Raw genomic sequence first — 23,858 nt, forward strand, 5'->3', positions numbered from 1 at the left:
TGGCCCAGTAGAGAGAGGGGTGCTGAGTCCCAAGTATGGCCTAATGTGAGGCTTCTGTTCTAGCACTGCGTGGCTATCGTCCATGTGCCTGGGCGCCGGCCCTTCAGCCAGAACCTGGTCCATGTCTACAAAGACGGCCATCTGGTCAAGACAGCACCCCTTCGCTGCCCCTCCCTCAGTGAGGTGTGCCAAGCAAGGTTTGGGGAGGCCTTGGGTAGATGGGAGGACTTGGAACACAGTGGGCAGGTGTAGCCTGGAGCCCTTGTGTCCCGTGCTGCCCCACAGGCCTGACTTTAGCCACTGGGGTCCATGCAGCCATGGGGGTCACTGTGAGGAACTGGTTGTAGGCGGAGCCCCAGGTTCTGCTGTGACCTGACCGCTCCCCCAACCCCGGCCCCACAGCCTTTCTCCTCCTGCTGTATCGGCTCCGCTGGATACCGCACAACGACCACCACCACAGGGCTGCCCACACCACCAGTCCCCGCCACCCTGGCCTACACTCACCCCGCCCTCACCCGCTCCCAGTCAGTCCCAGCCTCCACAGGGCTTGGCTGGGGGTCCGGGCTGGTGGCCCCCCTGCAGGAGGGCAGCATCGACTCTACCCTCGCAGGCACCCAGGACACTCGGTGGGGCAGCCCCACATCCCTGGAGGGTGAGCTGGGGGCTGTGGCCATCTTTCACGAAGCCCTGCAGGCGACGGCTCTGAGGACCCTGTGCACCCTGGGTATGCAGCATTCTCCATCTCTGCCACAGCCCCAGGCCAGAAGCTAGGGGTCCGGGGGGAGAAGGCATCTCTGGGGGTCTCTCCTGTGGTCAGGCAGTCTCTGGATGGGGTTTGGCCAGAGGCCTAGCAAGGTCTGAAGCCCCCTGCCCACCTCCCAGGGCCCAATGAGACGGCACCCTTCAAGCCTGAGGGGGAGCTGCATGAGCTCAGCACCAGGCTGCTCCTCCATTACTCACCTCAGGTATTTGGGGGCCCCAGGGGAGTGGTTGGCTCGACTGTGCTACTTCCCCGGCTCCCACACTCTGCCTGCCACCCCCTCCTCCCTCTGACCCTGGCTGCCTGCCCATTCCCCTATCCCTAGGCTTGTAAGAACAACATCTGCCTGGACCTGTCCCCCAGTCATGGGCTTGATGGGCGCCTGACGGGCCACAGAGTGGAGACCTGGGATGTGAAGGTCTGTGAGCACGTGTGGGTGGTGTGTGCAGGAGGCATGAATATGGGGCACATGTGTGTTCGGAGTCAGCTGGGGAGCAGCGCTGTGCCTGGGGAGGATTTGGACAGTCCAGCTCAAGAGAGCAAAACTTCCTTTCTGGGTGGTCTGCTGGGGTGGAGTAGGGCAGGAAACTGGCTGGAAGGTCCCCCTCACTGCCATCCTCCTTCCCCCAGGATGTGGTGAACTGCGTTGGGGGTATGGGTGCCCTGCTGCCCCTGCTGGAGCGAGTAGCTGCACAGCCCAAAGAGGCTGAAGCAGGTCCAGCTGAAACGCATGACCTCGTGGGTCCTGAACTGACCTCTGGTCACAACACCCAGGGCCTGGTTCTCCCATTGGGTAAATCTTCAGGTAAGTGTTCCTGGTGCCTATGTTGTGGAGAGGGAATCTTGGCATGGTAGGGGGGTGGAATGCCCAAGGTCTCCTGGCCACTGGCAGGCCCTTGACACACATCTGTCCCCTTCCTGATGGCTGGCAGAGGAACGGATGGAGAGGAACGCAGTGGCTGCTTTTCTGCTGATGCTGCGGAACTTCCTTCAGGGTCACATGGTGAACCAAGAGAGCCTGGTGCAGTGCCAGGGGCCTGCCATCATCGGGGCCCTCCTGCGAAAGGTGGGGCCCGGTGGGACAGGCATGGGGGTTAGGGGTATGGTCAGCCTGTCTGACCGAGGGGACTGAGTGGGGAACCCTGTCAGTCATGAAGAACCTCCTGGGAGAGTTGCCACTTGAGTGGGGCCTGAAAGGCCGAGCAGGGTTGGGTCTGGAGGATCTGGGGAAAGGCCCAGCACAGGTCGGGGCAGGGACCCGCACAGCAGGCAGGAGGCTTGCGTGTCAGAGGCGGCAGGAAGCCCCCAAAGGGTTCTGAGCAGGCTGGTGGCCATGTTTGTGGCCGTCATGGCTGTGCAGGGAAGAGTGGCAGCTGAAAAGCTCAGACAGCAGACAGGCAGAGCCTGAGCCCTCACTCCAGCTCCTGTCTTATCCCAGGTCCCAAGCTGGGCCATGGACATGAACGTGCTCATGTCCGCCCAGCTGCTGATGGAGCAGGTGGCAGCTGAGGGCAGCGGGCCCCTCCTGTACCTACTCTACCAGCATTTGCTCTTCAACTTTCACCTCTGGACCCTCAGTGACTTCGCCGTGCGCCTCGGTAGGTGTGAGGACCTGAGCAAGGGGCCGGCCATAGGGCAGCTGAGCACTGAGAAGTTAGAACTCTGCTCTGGGGGATCTGAGGGACTCACCTGTTAGGAATCCAGAATGCCATGGGGCGGCTGAGGGGACTATGACCCTGCCCTGGAAGTCTGACAGGCACATGGCCCTGGCCTGGAGGATCTGAAGGGCCCAGCTCAGCCTAGTGGCCTGAGCCCTCTGCTCATTCCCGCTCAGGTCACATCCAGTACATGTCCAGCATAGTTCGGGAGCACAGACAGAAGCTGCGGAAGAAGTACGGCGTCCAGTTTATCTTGGATGCTCTGCGCACCCACTACAGGTGAGGCCAGTGGGGCCAGATGGGCCATGGGGGGCTGACACAGTGGCCTCCGGCCTTGGGGACTGGGCGGTGCGCTTCCCTGACTCACCTGCCCACCCTCTCTCCCCGCCTTTCTTTGGGACCTGGCTGGGTGTGCCTACTGACCTGCCAGCCCGCAGCGGGAGCGCCCCCTGGCTGCTGACGACCTACGCACCGTGCAGACCTCCCTCCTGGGCCTGGCGAGGGAGTTCCTGGTGCGGAGTCTCTCAGCAGATGACGTGCAGGTCACGCAGACCATGCTGAGCTTTTTGGCGGCCACAGGCGATGACGGTCAGGTAGGCTGGAGGTTGGGGAGCGGGAGGCTTGGGTGAGGGGAGTGGGGGCCCGACACAGTGTGAGACCCTGCATCCCCAGGCGGTGGGTGCGCTGGACCTGCTGCTGGCCCTGCTGCACGGTTCCCTGGTGCAGGAGTCCTTGGCTGTCTTTCTGTTGGAGCCAGGGAACCTCGAAGTGCTACTGGCCCTGCTAGTGCGGCCAGGGTCACTGCCCCTGCTGCCCGATCGAGTCTGCAAGGTACACCCAGCCCACCCCCTCCCCTGGCATCCCATTCACTGGGGCCCCTGCCTGGGGTTCAGGGAGGTACAGCAGGCCTTGGGCCAGCGGATGAAGCTGCCTTCAAGGGCCTCTTGAGCCACACACCTGCACGGTGACTTCCCCTCCTACAGTAACTCCTTCCACATGATGACAGTCCTCCGATGACCCCCACACAGATCCTGCGCAGACTGCAGCAGAATGAGCGGCTACCTGAGCGGAGCCGCCAGCGCCTCCGGCTGCGGGAGTGTGGTCTCCAGGGTCTGGTTGCCTGCTTGCCTGAGGGGACTGTTTCCCCCCAGCTCTGCCAGGGCCTCTACAAGCTGTTCCTGGGGGCAGGTACAACCTGGTTAAGGCCAAGTGGAGGGGGTGACATGTCAGAAAAACAGGGCAGGCAGGCCGGAAGAAGGAAGATAGTGGCATAGGGGCCAGGGCTGGGCCCTGCCCTTTCTAGTCTGGTCAGTCCCTCAGGTCCCCCCAACCCATCCCCCCAGATTGCCTGAACCTCTCAGATCTGCTGGCTGTGGTACAGCTGTCCCTCCAGGCTGACCTCAGCGTTCGCCTAGACATCTGTCGCCAGGTGAGCATGAGAGGTAAAAGCTTTGGGGGAGGGGGAGGGTGGCTTCTACCCTCTGGCCTTCCACCTTGCCTGTCTCATGAGGGGTCTCTGGAGCCCTCCTCTGCAAAGGCCCTGGATGAGGGTCTGGAGCAGGCAGTTGGATGCGTCCTCACTTGCTGTGCTCTCGCCTGCAGCTTTTCCACCTCATCTACGGACAGCCAGATGTAGTGCGGCTTCTGGCCCGACAGGCTGGCTGGCAAGATGTGCTGACCCGGCTATATGTCCTGGAGGCTGCCACAGCCGGCAGCCCCCCTCCGTCTTCCCCAGAGTCACCTACCTCCCCCAAGCCAGCCCCACCCAAGCCACCCACTGAGTCACCTGCTGAGCCTTCAGATGTCTTCCTGCCCTCAGAGGCCCCCTGCCCTGACCCTGATGGCTTTTACCATGCTCTCTCCCCATTCTGCACGCCCTTTGACCTGGGCCTGGAACGGTCTAGTGTAGGATCAGGCAACACTGCTGGTGGTGGCGGCAGCAGTGGGACTCTTACTCCAGCCAGCCAGCCCGGCACTCCTTCGCCACTGGATGGGCCGCGGCCCTTTCCTGCTGCTCCTGGCCGCCACAGCTCCAGTCTCTCCAATGTGCTGGAGGACGGCAGCCTCCCGGAGCCCACCATTAGCGGGGATGATACCTCGAACACCAGCAACCCACAGGTGAGGTGGGCCCACCCTCTGCCACTGCATGGTACCCAAGGGAGGACACTTCTGGTACACAGGGCTGGCAGTGTAGCCTCTCCAAAGGTGTGGCCCTGTCTGACCAGGGTTGCAGCCACTGGTCAGGCCTATTGCTGTCCCCTCATAGCTCTCATCTGCAGTTGTGTTCCCAGAGGGCTCCTGGAACAGGGTGAGTCATGATGAGCCACAGTGGGTGACACCAGCCAGGCTTCAGAAGGGCCCTCAAGAGAGCCTGTAGGGCAGACACCTCACAGGGTCCAAGGGCAGCAAACTCCAAAGGCCCTGCCCTGGGCTTCTGGGTTTGGGGATGGGCCTCTGCTTGTTCTATGTGAACTGCCTCATCTCCTCTTGGGAGTCTGGCAAGACCCCAGGATTCTGCCTGGAACTCAGGTAGTAGTTGAGACCCCTATACCATTCTTCCAGGCCCTTAGTGCCAGGCTCACTGTTAGCCAAATGCTCTGACTCCTGGGTGGCTACCCCAGGAGGGGTGCTGAGTGGGGATGGGTGGGCGTCAGCCTGATTCCCTCCCTTAGCCGCCCACAACCCACGCCCACACCACCCACCTGTGCCCACAGCAAACCTCTGAGGAAGAGTTGTGCAATCTGCTCACCAACGTGCTGTTCTCGGTGACGTGGCGTGGCGTGGAAGGCAGCGATGAGGCTGCCTGGCGGGAGCGTGGCCAGGTTTTCTCAGTGCTCACCCAGCTGGGGGCCTCAGCCACACTTGTGCGCCCACCAGACTGCATCAAGCGCAGGTGAGAGGGAAAGTCTGGAGGGGGAGGGGCTTCAGGAAGCCTCGGGGGAAGGAGAGAAGATAGTCAGGTAGACCCTTGAGTTCCCCACTCACCCGCCAGCCTCCTGGAGATGATGCTGGAGTCAGCCCTGACCGACATCAAAGAGGCCCCCGTGGGGGTCCTGGCCAGCCTCACCCAGCAAGCGCTTTGGCTGCTGCGTCTGCTGCAGGACTTCCTGTGTGCTGAAGGCCATGGTAACCAGGAACTGTGGAGTGAGAAGGTGCGACCCCTCAGAGAGGCGTGAGCCACATGAACACTCATGTTCATGCAAGCCTGCAGGGATCTGGTCTGGGAGGTGGATGGGTACACGTGCGCAGGTGTGGGTGCATCAGCATGAATGCCTGTGAGTGTGGACTTGCCTGTGTGCACAAACCCTACCTGGCCCCCAGCGCAAACTTTACTTTGCTCCCTTTCCATGGACTCCTGGCCTCCCCTGGTGATGTCTGTTGGGAACCTGTTTTCTGTGGCAGCTCTTTGAAGGTGTATGCAGCCTACTTGATCGCCTGGGAGCCTGGCCCCACCTGGCCAACGGCACAGCTGATCTCCGTGAGATGGCGCAGATTGGCCTACGGCTTGTACTTGGCTACATCCTGCTGGAAGACCCACAGGTGAGCACAGGGTGAGCATGGGGGCAGGGGGCGTGTGAGATGTCGGGAGCTCCAAGAGTGGCTGGGTGCCACTCATCTCTCTTGCGCCCACAGCTGCATGCCCAGGCCTACGTGAGATTGCACATGCTGCTACAGACTGCAGTGCCAGCCCGCCGCGAGGAGGCCTGCTATGTGCTCTCCAAGCTGGAGGCTGCACTGGGGCGGGTGCTGAACACCTCTTCCTTGGAGTCAGCCACTGATGAGGCAGGGTCCCCACTTGCAGCTGCAGCAGCTGCAGCAGCTGCAGAGCGCTGCTCCTGGCTGGTGCCACTGGTGCGCACGCTGCTAGACCGTGCCTATGAGCCGCTGGGGCTGCAGTGGGGACTGCCCTCCCTGCCACCCACCAATGGCAGCCCCACCTTCTTTGAAGACTTCCAGGCTTTTTGTGCCACACCCGAATGGCGCCACTTCATCGACAAACAGGTGCCTGGAGGTTGGGGCCCAGGAAGAGGAGTGGGGGCTGGGGCCCACATCGAGCACTGTTCTCCTCTGCCCAATCCTCCAGGTACAGCCAACCATGTCCCAGTTCGAAATGGACACGTATGCTAAGAGCCACGACCTTATGTCAGGTTTCTGGAATGCCTGCTATGACATGCTTATGAGCAGTGGGCAGCGGCGCCAGTGGGAGCGCGCCCAGAGTCGTCGGGCCTTCCAGGTGTGCCACCCGGGGTAAGGGATGGGAAACTGCTCCACACATGCACCCAGGAGATGACTGACAATGTGGAGAAACGGGTAGGGCAGGCAGCAGCCAGGGGACTGACCTATTACCCCCACCCCAGGAGCTGGTGCTGGAACCTGCGCAGAGGCGGGCGCGCCTGGAGGGGCTACGCTACACGGCAGTGCTGAAGCAGCAGGCAACGCAGCACTCCATGGCCCTGCTGCACTGGGGGGCGCTGTGGCGCCAGCTCGCCAGCCCATGTGGGGCCTGGGCGCTGAGGTGGGCCGGGCTTGGGGCAGGGTCGCTGTGGAGGGGTGGGGCTTGGGAGGGAGGGAGCCACCTGGAGCCCCAGACTGCCTTTGGGGTGAGGCCAGGGAGGGATGGGGGTGTCTACAGCCTTCTACCGACCCATGACCTGGGGGACATTCTGCAGGGACACTCCCATCCCCCGCTGGAAACTGTCCAGCGCCGAGACATATTCACGCATGCGTCTGAAGCTGGTGCCCAACCATCACTTCGACCCTCACCTGGAAGCCAGCGCTCTCCGAGACAATCTGGGTGAGGGAGTGTGCTGAGATGGGTCCACCCAACTCGATTGTCCCGTCTCCTGTCCTGCCTTGCTTCTGCTGAGTACCCTTGGCCCCTTGCAGGTGAGGTTCCCCTGACACCCACCGAGGAGGCCTCACTGCCTCTGGCAGTGACCAAAGAGGCCAAAGTGAGCACCCCACCCGAGTTGCTGCAGGAGGACCAGCTCGGCGAGGACGAGCTGGCTGAGCTGGAGACCCCGTGAGTGGGGCCCTGGAGAGATTGGACTGGTGTGGTGGGCAAGGGGTCTGCTCCAGTGTGTGCATGCCTCTGTGGGATCAACTCCCTGAGTGTGTCCTCTTCTGCTGCCCGACTACGTCCCCCTGAAGGGACTGTCCAAAGCCAGATGGTGAGTGGGAGAGTCTCCTAACAGGGCTGAGAGTTGCTCTTTTAACAGCCAGGCACCTGAGGACAGCACTGAGAAACACAAACCAGAGCAGGAAGGGGGCCCAGGGAGTGGGCAGGGGCTGGGTGAGGGGAGCAGGGGACAAGGGTTGGCATCCTGGCAAAATATTCAGAAGCCCAGTGGGTGGCAGGTGGGGGACAGGGGCTGGGACCAGTAGGTTCTGGACCCTAGGCAGCCCCTCCCCATCTCTGGGAGTCATGAGAGTATATACCCCATGACTCAATGGCACTTGGATGCCCTTTGGGCTTGTGAAGAAGGGGGTCCCAGAGCCTACAGCGTGAGGTGGGTTGCTGGTCTTTAGGATGGAGGCAGCAGAACTGGATGAGCAGCGTGAGAAGCTGGTGCTGTCGGCCGAGTGCCAGCTGGTGACGGTAGTGGCCGTGGTCCCAGGGCTGCTGGAGGTCACCACACAGAATGTATACTTCTACGATGGCAGCACTGAGCGCGTGGAAACCGAGGAGGGTGCGTCCTGGTGGTGTGGTTTAGGAGGATGGCAGGGAATGGCTGAGCTCTGGGTGGGGCTGGGGTGAGTGACTCCCGTACCTGCTGTTCCTCCCCATAGGCATCGGCTATGATTTCCGGCGCCCACTGGCCCAGCTGCGTGAGGTCCACCTGCGGCGTTTCAACCTGCGCCGTTCAGCACTTGAGCTCTTCTTTATCGATCAGGCCAACTACTTCCTCAACTTCCCATGCAAGGTGGGCACGACCCCAGTCTCATCTCCTAGCCAGACTCCCAGACCCCAGCCTGGCCCCATCCCACCCCATACCCAGGTACGGAACCAGGTGTACTCGTGGCTCCTGCGCCTACGGCCCCCCTCTCAAGGCTACCTAAGCAGCCGCTCCCCCCAGGAGATGCTGCGTGCCTCAGGCCTTACCCAGGTGAGAGCCCTGGGTGTGAGGGATGTGAAGTCGGGACCCTGAATCACGGGGCAGTGCTGGACAGCCCACCTGGCTCACATCTTGTCTGCCCCTGTCCCCAGAAATGGGTACAGCGTGAGATATCCAACTTCGAGTACTTGATGCAACTCAACACCATTGCGGGGCGGACCTACAATGACCTGTCTCAGTACCCTGTGGTGAGGGTCCCACTCTGCACCCCTCCACCCCTGCCCCTCTGACCTGTCAGCCCTTGGTTCCCCCAAGTGTAGGTACCTGCCAGTGGGCCAAGCTCTGAGCTTGGTCAAGGGTAGATGTGCCAATGAAGACCTGGCCTCTGTTCCCTGCCAACCCCCAGAGGTCCCCAGCCTCACTCCCTTCCCCTCCCTGCCTAGCCTCTATTCCTCAAAAGGAATCCTGTTCCAGGACACTCTGTCCTTCTCCCCTGTGACCCCTCTAAGTGGTGCTCCCCCAACCTGTGGGCAGGCTCTGTGCCCGCCTTCTTGAGGGTGTGGGCAGGGCAGGGTGGGCTGGTAGGCCATCAGGGCCCTCATGCAGCCCCTGCTCGGGTGGGTGGCCAGTTCCCCTGGGTCCTGCAGGACTACGTGTCCCCAACCCTGGACCTCAGCAACCCAGCCGTCTTCCGGGACCTGTCTAAGCCCATCGGTGTGGTGAACCCCAAGCATGCCCAGCTCGTGAGGGAGAAGTGAGCATGTGGGCAGGGCTGGGCTCAGCGGGTAGGGAAAGGCGAGGGGAGGGCTTCTGCTGACACGTCCAACTGTGGCCCCAGGTATGAAAGCTTTGAGGACCCAGCAGGGACCATTGACAAGTTCCACTATGGCACCCACTACTCCAATGCAGCAGGCGTGATGCACTACCTCATCCGCGTGGAGCCCTTCACCTCCCTGCACGTCCAGCTGCAAAGTGGCCGGTGCGGCCCAGGGGCTGGTGGGCAGACTAGGGGGCAGATAAGGGGAGGAGGCTGGTCCTCCCCACATCCTGGGCCCACCCCTGGCTCCCTTCTTCCCTCCAGCCACAGCATCTCCCTCCCTGTCTCCATTCTCCCCACCTCACCTTGGCCCCGTGCCCCTCCCCCAGCTTTGACTGCTCCGACCGGCAGTTCCACTCGGTGGCGGCAGCCTGGCAGGCACGCCTGGAGAGCCCTGCCGATGTGAAGGAGCTCATCCCGGAATTCTTCTACTTTCCTGACTTCCTGGAGAACCAGAACGGTAGGTGTGAGGTGCTCACACTGGAGCGGGCAGGTGTAGGGATGGAGAGCAGATGGTGGAGTGGCCAGGGGGCAGTCGGGATGGACAGGGAGACAGCTGACCCAGTCCTCTGTGCCAGGTTTTGACCTGGGCTGTCTCCAGCTGACCAACGAGAAGGTAGGCGATGTGGTGCTACCCCCGTGGGCCAGCTCTCCTGAGGACTTCATCCAGCAGCACCGCCAGGCTCTGGTGAGGAAGGAACCACAGGCAAACGGCAGGCAGCCGGGGTTCTGAAGATCATGGGGGGTCAGCTGTCCCTGCACTGATTGCTGCCTCCCTACTCTCAGGAGTCGGAGTATGTGTCTGCACACCTACACGAGTGGATCGACCTCATCTTTGGCTACAAGCAGCGGGGGCCAGCCGCCGAGGAGGCCCTCAATGTCTTCTATTACTGCACCTATGAGGGTGGGCAGTGCGCTGGACTCCAGTCAGGGCCAGGACAAGATCAGGTCGGGTGGATGCAGAGGGCACGCAGGGAGCCCTGACTGCTCTGCCTGCCTTCCCAGGGGCTGTAGACCTGGACCATGTGACAGATGAGCGGGAACGGAAGGCTCTGGAGGGCATTATCAGCAACTTTGGGCAGACTCCCTGTCAGCTGCTGAAGGTAAGGCCAGCTTAGAGGATAGTGGCCAGGGATGCCCATGCCATGGTGCTGACCAGCCACTTACCCACAGGAGCCACATCCAACTCGGCTCTCAGCTGAGGAAGCAGCCCATCGCCTTGCACGCCTGGACACTAACTCACCTAGCATCTTCCAGCACCTGGACGAACTCAAGGCATTCTTCGCAGAGGTGAAAGGAAGACAAGACCTCAACTTTATATTCTGTGAAATGGGTTTAACCCCACTGTCCTTACCAACCACGTGGGGCAGATGGGAATCCTAATCAAGGTCACTGATTTCAAGGCACCTTAGAAAATGAGCTAAACATGGGAAGAGTATGGGGGCAGGAGGGGTGCCTTCTTCATCAGGGCCAGGATAAAGTGTCGACTCAACAAGCTCTGAAAGCCTTAGGGAGATCAGGAGGGAGATCTGTCCTTGGACCCCTTCCATCGCCTTCCTAGACAGGAACATTCCTGAATGTTGCCCCCAGGCCTGACTTTTTTTTTAGGTTTCCCTCTCTTCCTGCCTTTGGGCTAGGGGGACAAGGAATAACAGGGTGAGAGGACCAAGTTGAAACTAAGTGTGATACTCTGGAAGCATCTTCCATGTCTGTCCCAGCTTCTCACCCACTTTCTGAGATGCCCTCCTAAAGTCTCTGCCTGTTTCTTGGAGGGAACCTCTGCATCTGTGACACCTACTCTATGACCCCTGGGGACTGACAGTAAAGGAAGGGATGATGCTTCAGGGAGCAGATAGTGTAATCTGATAGTACTCAGGCATAGCTAGGCCTGCCCTTGCCCCTGCAGGTTGTCAGTGATGGTGTACCCCTGGTGCTAGCCCTGGTCCCCCACCGGCAGCCCCACTCCTTCATCACCCAGGGTTCCCCAGACCTGTTGGTAAGTGCATTGTGCAGAGCCCCAGCTCAGCTCCACTCCCCCTTGCCTCTGCCAGAAACCCACCTCTGCCCCCTCCTGCCTGCAGGTGACTGTGAGTGCCAGTGGGCTGCTGGGCACCCACAGCTGGTTGCCCTATGACCGCAACATAAGCAACTACTTCAGCTTCAGCAAAGACCCCACCATGGGCAGCCACAAGTAGGACAGAGGGCTGTGGGTGGGGTGGGCTACAAATGCCCTGCACCCGGAATTATTCCCCTCCCTAATCAGAATGTAGGCCAGCTGCAGGGGAAAGGTCTGGCCAGGCTCCCTGAGGGCCTGGGTCTCTTCCATGTGGCCTGGCCTCACTTGCTATCCCCCTCACTGGGTCAGGACGCAGCGACTGCTGAGTGGCCCGTGGGTGCCAGGCAGTGGTGTGAGTGGACAAGCACTGGCAGTGGCCCCGGATGGAAAGCTGCTATTCAGCGGTGGCCACTGGGATGGCAGCCTGCGGGTGACTGCACTACCCCGTGGCAAGCTGTTGAGCCAGCTCAGCTGCCACCTTGGTATGAACAGCCTTGGAGCTGGGGAGAATGAGGCACACAGGTATGGGGCCGGGTTCTGAGGCTGGCCAGGGCGGATGTGACTCCTCCGTTCTGCCTGTACCCTCCCCTTCCCATGCAGATGTAGTAACCTGCCTTGCACTGGACACCTGTGGCATCTACCTCATCTCAGGCTCCCGGGACACCACGTGCATGGTGTGGCGGCTCCTGCATCAGGTGTGCCTCGTGGGCAGCTCTGTGGGGCCCCCGTAGCCCAGACCTGCAGCCCATCCGTCCCTCAGTGGCCTTCCAGTCCTGTCCTCCTCTAGTCTTGGACAAGGCCTTCATTTCCTGAGCCTCAGGGGACAGTCCTAAGCCAACCCTGGTCCTCCACAGGGTGGTCTGTCAGTAGGCCTGGCACCAAAGCCTGTGCAGGTCCTGTATGGGCATGGGGCTGCAGTGAGCTGTGTGGCCATCAGCACTGAACTTGACATGGCTGTGTCTGGATCTGAGGTGTGTGTATGCATGTGCCCTGGGGAGGGTGAGTTTCCTGGGCAATCCCCCTGGAGCCCAGACTCCTGCCCAGGACCCTAAGTTGCCTTCCTGCAGGATGGAACTGTGATCATACACACTGTACGCCGCGGACAGTTTGTAGCGGCACTACGGCCTCTGGGTGCCACATTCCCTGGACCTATTTTCCACCTGGCATTGGGGTCCGAAGGCCAGATTGTGGTACAGAGCTCAGCGTGGGAACGTCCTGGGGCCCAGGTATGGGGAAGGGGTGCCCAGCAAAGATGGAGGGGCAGTTGGGATCCTGTCCTTGCTGACACTCCCTGCTTCCTCCAGGTCACCTACTCCTTGCACCTGTATTCAGTCAATGGGAAGTTGCGGGCTTCACTGCCCCTGGCAGAGCAGCCTACAGCCCTGACGGTGACAGAGGACTTTGTGTTGCTGGGCACCGCCCAGTGCGCCCTGCACATCCTCCAACTAAACACGTAAGCCCCCCATTTATGGGTTCATGGCCCCTGAAGGTGGTGGTCATTGGTGTAGGATAAAGGCCCTAGGAACCCACACACCATACATGTTTGTGGGCACATATTTCAAGGTTTGTTACCTGTCCCTTCATCTTCCCATGGGGAGGTCTTGCCCTGGGCCTCCGCTTAGCCACAGTTGTGGGAGATTTCTTTGTGTATAAGAATTTCAATTTAACCATCCTTAAAATGAGGACAGAGAGGGTATATGGGATAAGGGATATCTGCTGGTCGCAAAGCCCCCTTGCAGTCGCAAGTTGGTGTATATCCCCTCTCCCTTCCAGACTGCTCCCGGCCGCGCCTCCCTTGCCCATGAAGGTGGCCATCCGCAGCGTGGCCGTGACCAAGGAGCGCAGCCACGTGCTGGTGGGCCTGGAGGATGGCAAGCTCATCGTGGTGGTCGCGGGGCAGCCCTCTGAGGTGAGGATGGGGCGGGGGTGGGGAGGCCCCTCGAACGGGGCGGGGCGTGGCGCGGCGATCCCAGCTGATCCTACTCAACCCTTACGCCCACCAGGTGCGCAGCAGCCAGTTCGCGCGGAAGCTGTGGCGGTCCTCGCGGCGCATCTCCCAGGTGTCCTCGGGAGAGACGGAATACAACCCTACTGAGGCGCGCTGAACCTGGCCAGTCCGGCTGCTCGGGCCCCGCCCCCGGCAGGCCTGGCCCGGGAGGCCCCGCCCAGAAGTCGGCGGGAACACCCCGGGGTGGGCAGCCCAGGGGGGTGAGCGGGGCCCACCCTGCCCAGCTCAGGGATTGGCGGGCGATGTTACCCCCTCAGGGATTGGCGGGCGGAAGTCCCGCCCCTCGCCGGCTGAGGGGCCGCCCTGAGGGCCAGCACTGGCGTCTGCGGCCGCAGCAGCACTTTTTGCACAGTCTGGGGCGGGGTTCCCCGGCTTCCAAGTCGCTGTTTCGTCAAAGCACGAGGGCCGCCTGTGGCCTTAATTCCTAACGGCGGCCCCGGTTCTCCCTTCTCGGCAATAAACCAGGCCTAGTTTTGTAGCTGCTCCGTCTCCGAGTGTGCGTTCGCGCGCAGCGTCTCGGCCTGCCATGGCCACCGTCCCAGGGTCGCCGTCTGAGTCTGGCCTGGCTCGCGTTCCCCTGGCCCGTGACCCCCTCTGGGCCCACTCGCCCCCCCTCCGCGTGGCCGTCGCTGAACTGGGGCCTCAGTTTACCCGGCAGTGTAGCCCCTGCCCCACATCTCGCCCCGGCTTGTGGTTTCCCCACGATCTCTTCATGGGGTCGCCTTCGCACGCCATTCGTCCACAACCGCAACCCGGCCAGGCGCCCCGCAGGCGCGTTTGCATTCCTTCGCCGGGCAGGGGCGACAACACCCGAGGCCGCGCCCCTCCAGCTCGGCCCTGCCACCTCATTGTCTTGCCTACTTCTTGGGCCGCCCTGTGGCGCCGCTGTGGTCTCGGGGTTGGGGGTGGGGGGCCAGAACCACCCCAGAGAGTCCACGTTGTCTTCCCGGAGGGCTCGGTCCTGCCCTGCTGAGTGGATCCATCCTGGCGGCCACTGGTCATGAGGAGTTGGGGGCAGAGCCCTTGCTGAGCGGAGGGAGCCGGGGGCTGCCTCTCTGTCCCCCATCTCCAGACTCGCGATCCTGCGGGTGTTGTATGTGCTGGTGTCGGCGTGTGCGTGAGAAGTCAGGGGTAGTGTGGGTGTGCGGGGTGGTTGCATTGTGTGTGCGTATTCGTGGGCCTGGAGACAGGTGGGAGGCGGGAGGGGTTCCAGTCCCGCTGCTCAGAGTAGGCTGGGCGGAAGCCAGGCCTGTCTGCTGCTGCGTCCTGGTCACAGGCCCATCCACTATCCAGGATCCTGCAGGGCCCCTTAATGTAAGTGACACAAAGGTACACACCCATATGTGGCAAGGGCTACCAGGTCGCACCCACTTGGCCACAGCACTGGGTTGCTGATTTAGCCATACACATGGGCACATGGTGTGGGATAGATCGGTACCCAATATGTGGTGGTGGATACTGGGGAGCTGGAGGGCCTTCCCGGATGTCTCCTCCATTCCTTCTCCAGGCAAGCTCTCCTTAGTCTAGACGAGGAGCTTCTCTTCCCCAAACCTCAGGAAGTGGGTCCCAGCAGATTCAGCCCTATAGGATCCAGGTAGGACTGAGCGGTCCTATCCTTTGAGTCTCAGGCCCTCTCTGAATTTCTGGATGAAGCAGGATCAACTAGGGAGTCTCTGGGCCCATATCCCCTATTCCCTCGCTGAACCCACCAGGGTAGCATTCCACCCAGTTCCTGATCAGGAGAGGGCTGGACACTGACCCTTGAGGAAAGAGTGCGAGCATGGTCACTGCAGAAAGTCCTCCTGCCTTGGGGCTTTAGGATGTTGGGTTCCTGAACTCTAGTTTAAAAGCCTGGTGGTGAGCCTCCCACTGGCCAGTACATCTCTCCAGCCTGGTTCTGGCCAAGATGGAGCTAGAAGGCACGTCTCCCCTATCCTCCCTACCATCCCTGGACTCAGACCAGGTGTTTGGCAACGTCTTTGAGACAGGGTGGTTTCCAACCTGTCTTCCATCCTGAGCTGTATCTGACCCTTCTAATTTTGGCCAGCTGGGACCAGCTCTGTCACCTCCGCCCCATCTGACACAGGAGGAAACTGGTCCAGCCCTAGAATGAATCAGGTTGAAGTGAGAAAAGGGGGACAGACTACCCCAAGGGACTGCCAACGTCAGGCCTGGAGATTTCCCCCATATTCCTCCTGCACACAGCCCTTTTTGGACTGAGAGAAGCAGCTCCCAGCTCCCCTGCCTGGGCGCTGCCTAAAACTCTCTAACGTCTTCTCCAAGAAACAGCCCCAGGAGTATTAACCACTAACAGAGCCATGATTCACAACTCTAGCCACAGCAAAGTCCTGGCCTATGTGGGTAAGCATCCGTTGATCCAGATCATGGGCACTGGGCAGGCTGGGAGGTACCCCAAGTGGGTAGGTCACACCCAAGTCCAGCCACAGGTTCTGGAGTCTCTGCCCCGTGTGCCCTGACTGCACTAGATTGGAAGGACAAGTCGCTTCCAGGCAGAAGAAAGCAACAACACTTCCTTTCCAGTTCAGCTTTATTTTGCAAAAATTTACAAGGCCTCCTTTGCACAGAGATGCTTGTGGGGACCACATGAATCAATGTGCCCTCACAGTCCAGACTTGGTGGCGGAGACAGGACACAAGTGCCATGGTAGACAGTGCCATGGTCTTTCTTCCTGTGCCCTGGATAATTGGATAAAAAAAATTGGATTTAGTGCCGTGGTAGACAGGAGGTGCAAATGGACCCCAAAAAGGAAGAGATCAAGAAGTCTTCCCAGAGTAGAAGATTCTTGCCAATATGTCAGATGGAGAAGGGAGATTGGCAAGAGCAGAAGTCTGGAAGGTTATGAGAACAGGGTGCATCTAGGAAGGACAAGGTGTCCAGAGTGGTAAGCAAAGGGGAAGAAGTAGATGAAAATGGAAAAATAGGCCAGACAGCTCCTGATGCTGTGGTATAAGCTTTTGACTCTAATAGTAGGGACTACTGGCTTCAAATCTTTTTGGCAACAAAGTTTAGGTGAGGCTACCCAGGGACCCTAGCCTTTGTTCCTTGCTCCTGACCTGATCTGTCTTTTCTTCCACAGGTAAGATCCTGAGGAGGCAGGAGAGGGACAGGGAAGGAGTATGGGTAGGGGCAGGAGGAGCCCTGGCCCCCAATACCTCCTCCCCTTTCCTCCTGGAGTCTCCAAGAGGTCTCAGGCAGCATCATCCCAGTCTACTGTACCCTTCTGGCCACTGTGGTCCTCGGTCTGCTTGCCTACATGGCCTTCAAGTGGTAGGTGGTCTGGGCACTGCCCTGTGGCACCCCCTTCCCTGTCTGGACTCCCAACCAATTCCCTGTCTTGAAGGTGGGGGCAGGTTGGTAGGTCTCCCTTTCTCCCCACAGCTGGCGCTCACATAAACAAAGACAGCAGCTGGCCAAAGCTCGAACTGCAGAGCTGGGAGGTCTCAACAAGGACCAGATGCATGGGGATAGCAGTGTCTTCCTGGACTCTCCTAGCAGTCTGGAGCCCTGTGCCCCCAGCCAGGGTGAGCCCCTTTCCCAGAACTGCCTCACCACCCAGCCCTTGTGTGATCCTCATGTCTCCTGCCCCAGGACCACATCCTGAGCTTGGGTGCCGACTTCACCTTGATCTCCCTCGGCAGCACCAGGAGAAAGTGGAGCGGCTGTTAGAGGTGTCACGTGAACCTGACAAGGGCTGGCGGGGACTGGCAGACCATCTGGGCTACCAAGCTGAGGCTGTAGAAATCATGGCCCAAGGCCAGGTGTGAGCCTACACACTGCTGAGGGACTGGGCTATCCAAGAAGACAGTGGTGCCACCCACAAGGTGCTAGAGAATGCCCTGGTTGCCATGGGCCAGGAAGATGTGGTCCAGGTCCTGGGCCCCCAAGCTGAGGGCTGTTCTGTGGTGTGAGTGCTGTCTCCATAGCCTGCACTCTCGGAGACTGCTCCGGTGCTCCCCTACCCCCATCTCATATATCTTTCCCTTTGTGGGCTTCCTGGGGTTGCTGGGCTCAGCCTGCTCTGTTCTGGGGAAGAAAACCGAAGATCCAGCCACCATTCACTTCCCCTTATCCACCCATCCCCTCCAGAAGAGGGCCCAGGATATGGTGGGGAGTGGGCAGTGAGGAGTGGTTCTGCCCTTTGGATCCCTACTCCACCTCCTCTTATTAAGCCTCAGCTGGTTTTGCTACTTTTGTAACCCATATTAAAGGTGATTCGGACTTTTCCGCTGGCTCTATCTGGCTCCTTGGGCCTGTGAGACAGTTGAGTGGGTGGCTATGAGGCAGAGGCCCAGAAAAGGGGTGGGGGTCCCTAGGCTGTGGGAGGGGCCTCTCCAAGCAGCACCTGGGATGGCAGGCAGTGTGATCCTATAGGATGCATGGGCTCTGGAGGCACAGATCAGAGTTCATATCCTGCGCCTACTACCATTTGCTGGCTTTATCATGTTTGGAAGGTATTTTACCTTGCTGATTATTTTACCTTGCTGATTATTTTACCTTGGTATTTTATCAACTTCCTTAGCTGGAGAACAGTAAGTTTAAGTGACACATTCAGTAGTTTCCCCCACACCTAAGACTCCCAGGTTGGTGCTGAGGGACCCTGGGTTTGAGATCATTTTCCTGACTTGTTCTATGAGCAGCACCAAGGGGAGGCTGGAGGCCTGTTCCTCTAGACAGGAGGCAAGAAGCAGGCTGGTCCTGGGCAGTTAATTACCAAGGGCCTCAGGTCACCTCTAGATAAGAAAAAAGAAAACGCTCTCTTTACAAGACCTGAACTCAGGACAAGGAGTTCCAAATGTACTTCCACATCTGCTCATGTGGTTGCTACACATGCCAAGGACAGGTGGGTCTCCTGGGCAGCTCAGGACAAGGCAGGTGCAGCCAAGTCCATGCATATGCACTCCATACATATGCCCACCCCAAAGGGGGAGGCAGGTAGGTTGGCACAATAAGTGCCTTTTGAAGAAGGTGCTATAAAAGACAAGCCTTGCCTAGGAAGGAACAATGGCTACCATCCTGGCATCTATCAGCATAAGTAGGCTTCAGAAGCACAGCCATCCAAACTCACTCAGAAGACATGGGTTCCAGTCATGGTCTAGGGGGGCCCAAGGTAGATCCTGTCCCTCTGCTAAAATGAGATGCAACTAAGATTGACTACTCTGTGAGTACCAAGCTCATCAGATTGCTGCTACTGCTACCCTCAGAAATAGTTGACCAGGGCTGCTTAATACTCTGTAAATCTTTCCCTTAAACTAAGGAAGAACCGGAAGTTTATAGCCACCTTCCTCCTCAGATGACCTTAGGGCAATAACCCTGAAGAATCAGGAGAGAAAGCAGGGAAGATACGCACCAGCTGCTGGAGACATCATAACCTGGAGATTTGGGTCAAAACCATGCATTTGATTTGGTTGCAAGCAGCAGTGCATGTGGCTGTACCCCTGCACTGTAAACCCACTGAAAAAGAAATGCCCCCTTTCAATGTGCTTAAGCATATTAACTAAAATATTCTCTGTAACAGACATAATTCCAAGACGTTAAGAGGGTTGAGCAAATTACCATCTGCGCATGTGATATAATAATATGCTTTAGGCCAGGCGTGGTGGCTCACGCCTGTAATCCCAGCACTTTGGGAGGCCGAGATGGGTGGATCACCTGAGGTCAGGAGTTTGAGACCAGCCTGACCAACATGGAGAAACCCCATCTCTACTAAAAATACAAAATTAGCCGGGCATGGTGGTGCATGCCTGTAATCTCAGCTACTAGGGAGGCTGAGGCAGGAGAATCGCTTGAACCTGGGAGGCAGAGGTCGCAGTGAGCCAAGATCGTGCGACTGCACTCCAGCCTGGACAAGAGCGAAACTCTGTCTCAAAAAAAAAAAGTGCTTTACAGTTTTGAAGGCTGCAGTATCATGAGAAAACAATAGCATGTCTAAGTTTAAAATAAGGATTTTCCCCTCTTTTAACACTTCCTTTAATATGAGGATATTAGAAGAGTTACTGAACCTCTCTGACCCTTAGTTTTCCTCATTATAGTGCCAATTCCTGTGCCTCAGGACTGTGACCACAACCTGAGCTCTAAGTGCTCAGCACAGTGCCTAGCAGGCAGTGACTGCTCTAATTGCTACTCACCCTGCCAAAGATTTGGCAGGCCACAACCTGACCTGACCTCAAGAACACTGCTGCAGCAGGCAGAATAACCCTGGTGAGAAACAGGTGGGACCAACCTTTTTGCAAAGATGGGCCCAGTCTGGCCTGAAGCCCTTAGCCTTCCTCACTGCCTAGATAACTGATCCAACAAGTGGGAGAGAGGTCTCTCACCAAGCCCTGCATCTTCCTGGAAATGTTCACTATCATCATAACCTGTGCACTATACCTCTTTTATAGGGGTCCTATCCTGTCCTCTAGTGTCCAACCCCAGTGTTAGGGAGCACAGTGGGAAGCTAGGGAACCCAAACATCAAATGAGCATTTCAAACCAGGTGTCCAACACTTTGGGAGTCTAAAGCAGGAGCATTACTTGAGGCCTGGAAGTCAAGACCAGCCTGGGTAACATAGCAAGACCCTGTGTCTCTACAAAAATTTTTAAAAAGTATTAGCTAATAGTCCTAGCTACTCCAGAGGCTGAGGCAAGAAGACTGCTTGGGCCCAGGAGTTCAGGGATGCAATGAGCTATGATCACACCACTGCGTTCCAGCCCGGGCAACAAAGCGAGACCCTTTCTCCCCACCCCCCTCCCCCACCCCCCCCCAAAAAAAGCATTCCAGTGGGCTCAGAAAAATCAAGTCCATGGGGGAGAAAAGATTCAATGCTTCTCTCCAGCCAGGAGAAAGTATCAAGGGAGAAGATAAATTTGCCTTTCTCTTGACTGATAATTAACCAAAATAAAGAAGCCTAGTGCCAAAGAGGCCCTAGATGCTGCTTCTTTTGCTCTGGAATGCATGTGCAAATTGACCCAATGCCTGAGCACAGCCAAAAGATCCCAAGCCTACAAGTGTCAGTCACCTGGCAAATGTGCAAATGTCTGCCCCAGTCATAGTAGGACCTGTGGAGAATGAACAAGTCCTGTAATAAAATCCAATCACAGGGATTAACCTTGGACTTCACACACCTAAGGCCACTCACTATCTCTCCTTCTTCCAGTGACATCATTACACACAAATATGCTTGATTAACTTTTAGGGAACACACATGCCAAGTTCTTTAATTGATTTTATTTTTTTACATAAAAAGTTCAGTAAAAATTGGATAAAGTAAAGTGATTTTAAGCAGTAAATCAATCTTATCAACATAGCACAAGGCTGGCCAAAACCACAAGGCAGCCTGCTTTAGAATATTTACATGATAACAAATTAAACCTTGCAGGAGAACTTAAACTGTCCTTACAAAGTCTTCCTGTGATCCTAGCATGTAGAGGCTAAAAGCAAAACGAAAACCAAACAAAAACCAGGAAAAAACAAATTATTTTCAATATATTCACATATACATTAAAATATAATACAGATCATCAGGGTAAAGGGTTGTGGGTGGGGATGCGCATGGGTCTGTGCGCTGACAGCACCGCCAAGGAGAAGACCCAGGTTTAAGAGTGGAGTCAGGTCTGGCCAGGGTCTTTTCTAAGCCCTTGCACCTCTGATGGCTTCTAACCACATGCCAACAGCTCACAACTAGGTAATCACTTGTAGATGGAGTTCATTTTTGTGGCCTTCAGTTGACATCTGCAGGGTTGAATTCCCCAGGGTGATGTATCATCAGTAGCACAGTGCTGACAGGGGTGGGACAGAAAGGCCCACAGGATTTCCTCTCCCTAGAGTCTGTCTTACCTGACCACCCATCCTCCCACCCTGGCCCAACAGTCACTCTAATTCAGTGTCCTCTTTGGGTTTGTAAACAGCCCCAAACTTCTGCATGTACTTCTTAATGTACTCCTTGGTTTTGTGTTTCACATTCTCATTGCACTCCAGGTCCTCAGGATTCTTACAGTACTTCAGCTCCTTATTCATAACACCGTGAGTCAGCTGTCCAGGGCACAGGAAGAGAGACCACAGCCACCAATCAGAGCAGAAATTATATGAGGGGGAGGACAGGGGTGGTAATCCAGCCTGCTGCTTCAGGGCCCTTCTCACCAAGACAGGAAGTTAATAAGGGGGTAGATGTTGGGGCAGGCTGGTGCTATGATCACCAGAAAGGACAAGCTGAGCTCTGAAAATTTCTTAGAGAACTACTGCTGTCATGTAAGGTACGCATCCCTCCCCAAACCTTCCCTCCCCGTTCCTGGGTCCCCAGCTCTGACATCTGACAAGAAAAAAAAAAATACTTTCTATGATGAAAAGGGCTTCTTAGAAGGTACACAGTTTGCCCAGAACATTGCCTGGTGGGCTACCAAAAGCAAGGGGAGTACCTTGCGAGCCAGATGTTTAAAGTCTTCAGTTGTGGTAATTCTTCCCACTTTGCAGTCAGGTTTCCGGTAAGGGTTCAGGCACTGGACGATGAACTGGGACATCTGCAGGCAGAGAAAAGAGAACACGTTGCTCAACAGTCCAGAGAGGGCAAGGAGTTGTACTGAGGAAATAACTAGAAAAGGTAGTGAGTAAAGCCAGCCAATCCTTCTCCTTTTCCTCCCTCAGGTTAACTGGTTTGGACAGTGGAATACTAGTAAGCCAGTAAGATCTGAGAAAAGGATACGGGCTCAGCCTGAGAGGGAAAGAGCTCCCCTGGATGGACTAAGCAAGCCTTAAAGGAGGCTGGAGGGACTCAACAGCATGACTTCAATGCTGAGTCCTTCAGCAGCCCCAGGTTTCAGTCAATGAATTTTGTGTCCTTGGCATAAAGACAGTAGCTGGGTTCTCTGGGCCCTGGAGGCAAGGCAGAGCACAGCAGGTGTTCCAGAGCTTCTATGAGGCTTAGCAATCCCAGGAACCACAGGAATTTTGTCATTGAAGGGTACTTAGATTCTTTAAGTGGTCATACCACAGCATGTGAAGCAGATGGAAGCATGATATGACAGCCAGCAAAGGAAAACCTAAGCAGAATCCTTTTCCTTCCACCACTTACTATGTCCTCCCTGGGCTGTCTAAGTATGGTCTGTCCTACCCAGGTGCTCCCAAACACTCTAGGAATAGGACCTTCAGAGGTATTTGTGGTGCTAAGATCATAGGGGACAAAGAGAATAAAGAGGCCAGTCATAGCCATTTCATCAGAGAGCACTTTGAACAAAGTCTACCCATCACTAAAATTCAGTGAGCCTTCAGGTGTTCAAAGAACAAGGCTATATCACAAGGTAGGCACTAAATAAACAGCTGCTGGTTCAATGAGCTGAAATACCAGTATGTTCACAAAGGGACCATAAGAAACTAAATTTTATCCCTGCATAAGCCTTTTAACTCAAGGTTTTTCTGGGGTTTCCTGGCCTCCAAACTCTCTTCCTTCAGTCTATCCCCTCAAACACAGATAGGGATTTCATTACCCCCTGCTTAAAATTCTGCAATGGTTCCCGATAACCCACAGACACATAGTTCCTATATGAAGAAGAACAATACCATTCCACCTCATTTTCAACAGCCCTCCCATATCTTGTGCTATAGCCCATCAGGCCACTTACAACTCCCTGGAAGGGAAGATGCTCTCTCTTGCCTCTGTACATTCTATTGATATAAGTTAGATCCCCTGCTGATCCATCTGGCCAATTCCTACCCCTGATTCAAGCGCCCTTCCTGACTGCCCAGATTGTGGCTCCCAGCCCTAATATGGCATACTTTTCACACAGCTGTCGCTACTTATTTACAGGTCTGTTTCTTCCAAAACACTACAAGCCCCTTCAGTGAATGAAGATTGGAGTTTAGAACCTAGATGCTATGAAGCAGACAAGTTTAGTGTCTTGATGGTTGGTAAGACACACTTCTGGTAGCATAAAAAGGAGCAGCATTCTCCCAAGCCCTGGAGAATTAGGCAGCTACCAAATGAGATATTACAGAAAGAGAACTGGACTTTGAGCCAGAACGCCTGAGTTCAAATCTTTTGTCTAGAACTTGCCTTCTCTGAACCTTAAGAGTTCTTTCACCTGAATAAGAGGAAAGGCAATCTGTCTTGCCTACCTCAAGGGCTGTTGTGGGGACAAAATGAGTCAATGGGTACTGAAGTGCTTAACCAGTTGAAAAAGGCCACACCTCTTTCACCAATGTGTCATTCACATAACAACTAAGTCAAATCACAGAAGCAAGAGGAATACCCAAAGACAAGGCAGCCTACCACTACAGACAGCTTTCTTTTGCCATAGATGCTACAGAAGGCCCACAGTCAAACAAGCAAATGTGGTCTGAGAGGGGCTCCTGTCAAGCCAAGAAAAGATGGCTGAGGAGTTTTCAGTGCTAAAAGAAGCACTTCAGCAAGACATACACACAAGGAACACCTTGTGTTCCTGCCTATCTTGGGGCAAAGGAGATATTCGACATACTTAGGACAAGAAATGAAAGGGTTCAGATTTAAGCCTG

General features: G+C 56.8%; 2 protein-coding genes and 1 pseudogene across 21 annotated transcripts in view, besides 7 other annotated features; 2 read left to right on the top strand and 1 right to left on the bottom strand.

The window, feature by feature from the left end:
- NBEAL2 (neurobeachin like 2) overlaps positions 1–13,833 on the top strand; it is a 30,036-nt gene extending 16,203 nt beyond the window's left edge. For 9 of the 14 annotated variants that reach the window (NM_015175.3, XM_006713072.4, XM_047447786.1 and 6 more), the window contains 40 exons: positions 64–183; positions 403–724; positions 883–965; positions 1,086–1,178; positions 1,391–1,565; positions 1,693–1,826; positions 2,199–2,358; positions 2,595–2,697; positions 2,849–3,011; positions 3,091–3,249; positions 3,447–3,606; positions 3,762–3,847; positions 4,021–4,536; positions 5,133–5,311; positions 5,411–5,570; positions 5,821–5,958; positions 6,052–6,420; positions 6,503–6,652; positions 6,777–6,934; positions 7,089–7,213; positions 7,306–7,441; positions 7,948–8,108; positions 8,209–8,525; positions 8,627–8,722; positions 9,104–9,228; positions 9,313–9,453; positions 9,621–9,751; positions 9,870–9,979; positions 10,078–10,195; positions 10,297–10,394; positions 10,465–10,581; positions 11,198–11,287; positions 11,373–11,482; positions 11,657–11,829; positions 11,948–12,042; positions 12,202–12,318; positions 12,415–12,573; positions 12,652–12,800; positions 13,121–13,256; positions 13,351–13,833. In NM_015175.3, coding sequence (NP_055990.1) covers positions 64–183; positions 403–724; positions 883–965; positions 1,086–1,178; positions 1,391–1,565; positions 1,693–1,826; positions 2,199–2,358; positions 2,595–2,697; positions 2,849–3,011; positions 3,091–3,249; positions 3,447–3,606; positions 3,762–3,847; positions 4,021–4,536; positions 5,133–5,311; positions 5,411–5,570; positions 5,821–5,958; positions 6,052–6,420; positions 6,503–6,652; positions 6,777–6,934; positions 7,089–7,213; positions 7,306–7,441; positions 7,948–8,108; positions 8,209–8,525; positions 8,627–8,722; positions 9,104–9,228; positions 9,313–9,453; positions 9,621–9,751; positions 9,870–9,979; positions 10,078–10,195; positions 10,297–10,394; positions 10,465–10,581; positions 11,198–11,287; positions 11,373–11,482; positions 11,657–11,829; positions 11,948–12,042; positions 12,202–12,318; positions 12,415–12,573; positions 12,652–12,800; positions 13,121–13,256; positions 13,351–13,452 — 6,234 coding nt within the window. In that variant the 3' untranslated portion in view covers positions 13,453–13,833. Of the gene's footprint in view, positions 1–63; positions 184–402; positions 725–882; positions 966–1,085; positions 1,179–1,390; positions 1,566–1,692; positions 1,827–2,198; positions 2,359–2,594; positions 2,698–2,848; positions 3,012–3,090; positions 3,250–3,401; positions 3,607–3,761; positions 3,848–4,020; positions 4,537–5,132; positions 5,312–5,410; positions 5,571–5,820; positions 5,959–6,051; positions 6,421–6,502; positions 6,667–6,776; positions 6,935–7,088; positions 7,214–7,305; positions 7,442–7,947; positions 8,109–8,208; positions 8,526–8,626; positions 8,723–9,103; positions 9,229–9,312; positions 9,454–9,620; positions 9,752–9,869; positions 9,980–10,077; positions 10,196–10,296; positions 10,395–10,464; positions 10,582–11,197; positions 11,288–11,372; positions 11,483–11,656; positions 11,830–11,947; positions 12,043–12,201; positions 12,319–12,414; positions 12,574–12,651; positions 12,801–13,120; positions 13,257–13,350 lie in introns of those variants that run through there. The other 5 variants (XM_047447792.1, XM_047447793.1, XM_011533533.3 and 2 more) reach the window with 4 other exon arrangements.
- Positions 1,745–2,638: an enhancer, noted in NCBI's record as "H3K4me1 hESC enhancer chr3:47039103-47039996 (GRCh37/hg19 assembly coordinates)". NCBI's record gives its function as "activates a minimal SCP1, AML or CMV promoter by ChIP-STARR-seq in naive H9 embryonic stem cells {active_cell/tissue: H9 hESC(naive)}" and the evidence as "EXISTENCE:reporter gene assay evidence [ECO:0000049][PMID:30033119]".
- Positions 13,252–13,761: a silencer, noted in NCBI's record as "silent region_14302". NCBI's record gives its function as "represses an Ori minimal core promoter by ATAC-STARR-seq in GM12878 lymphoblastoid cells {active_cell/tissue: GM12878}" and the evidence as "EXISTENCE:reporter gene assay evidence [ECO:0000049][PMID:35858748]".
- Positions 13,252–14,188: a biological region, named in NCBI's record as "NANOG-H3K27ac-H3K4me1 hESC enhancer GRCh37_chr3:47050749-47051546".
- Positions 13,391–14,188: an enhancer, noted in NCBI's record as "NANOG-H3K27ac-H3K4me1 hESC enhancer chr3:47050749-47051546 (GRCh37/hg19 assembly coordinates)". NCBI's record gives its function as "activates a minimal SCP1, AML or CMV promoter by ChIP-STARR-seq in primed H9 embryonic stem cells {active_cell/tissue: H9 hESC(primed)}" and the evidence as "EXISTENCE:reporter gene assay evidence [ECO:0000049][PMID:30033119]".
- Positions 14,189–14,985: an enhancer, noted in NCBI's record as "NANOG-H3K27ac-H3K4me1 hESC enhancer chr3:47051547-47052343 (GRCh37/hg19 assembly coordinates)". NCBI's record gives its function as "activates a minimal SCP1, AML or CMV promoter by ChIP-STARR-seq in primed H9 embryonic stem cells {active_cell/tissue: H9 hESC(primed)}" and the evidence as "EXISTENCE:reporter gene assay evidence [ECO:0000049][PMID:30033119]".
- NRADDP (neurotrophin receptor associated death domain, pseudogene) lies at positions 15,674–17,599 on the top strand (annotated as a pseudogene). The gene is made up of 4 exons (NR_024046.1): positions 15,674–15,716; positions 16,453–16,643; positions 16,755–16,897; positions 16,965–17,599. The product of NR_024046.1 is annotated as a neurotrophin receptor associated death domain, pseudogene (transcript).
- Positions 16,941–17,440: an enhancer, noted in NCBI's record as "H3K4me1 hESC enhancer chr3:47054299-47054798 (GRCh37/hg19 assembly coordinates)". NCBI's record gives its function as "activates a minimal SCP1, AML or CMV promoter by ChIP-STARR-seq in primed H9 embryonic stem cells {active_cell/tissue: H9 hESC(primed)}" and the evidence as "EXISTENCE:reporter gene assay evidence [ECO:0000049][PMID:30033119]".
- SETD2 (SET domain containing 2, histone lysine methyltransferase) overlaps positions 20,568–23,858 on the bottom strand; it is a 148,405-nt gene continuing 145,114 nt past the window's right edge. For all 6 annotated transcript variants that reach the window (NR_146158.3, XM_024453487.2, XM_047448045.1 and 3 more), the window contains 2 exons: positions 21,770–21,871; positions 20,568–21,386 (listed from right to left, as the gene is read on the bottom strand). Coding sequence is in view for 5 of the 6 variants with exons in the window: in XM_024453487.2 (XP_024309255.1) it covers positions 21,225–21,386; positions 21,770–21,871 (264 nt within the window). In the remaining variant the exon portion in view is untranslated. The remainder of the gene's footprint in view (positions 21,387–21,769; positions 21,872–23,858) is intronic.
- Positions 23,547–23,626: a silencer, noted in NCBI's record as "silent region_14303". NCBI's record gives its function as "represses an Ori minimal core promoter by ATAC-STARR-seq in GM12878 lymphoblastoid cells {active_cell/tissue: GM12878}" and the evidence as "EXISTENCE:reporter gene assay evidence [ECO:0000049][PMID:35858748]".

Source organism: Homo sapiens, chromosome 3 (genome assembly GCF_000001405.40).
Source record: "Homo sapiens chromosome 3, GRCh38.p14 Primary Assembly".
Taxonomy (NCBI): domain Eukaryota; kingdom Metazoa; phylum Chordata; class Mammalia; order Primates; family Hominidae; genus Homo; species Homo sapiens.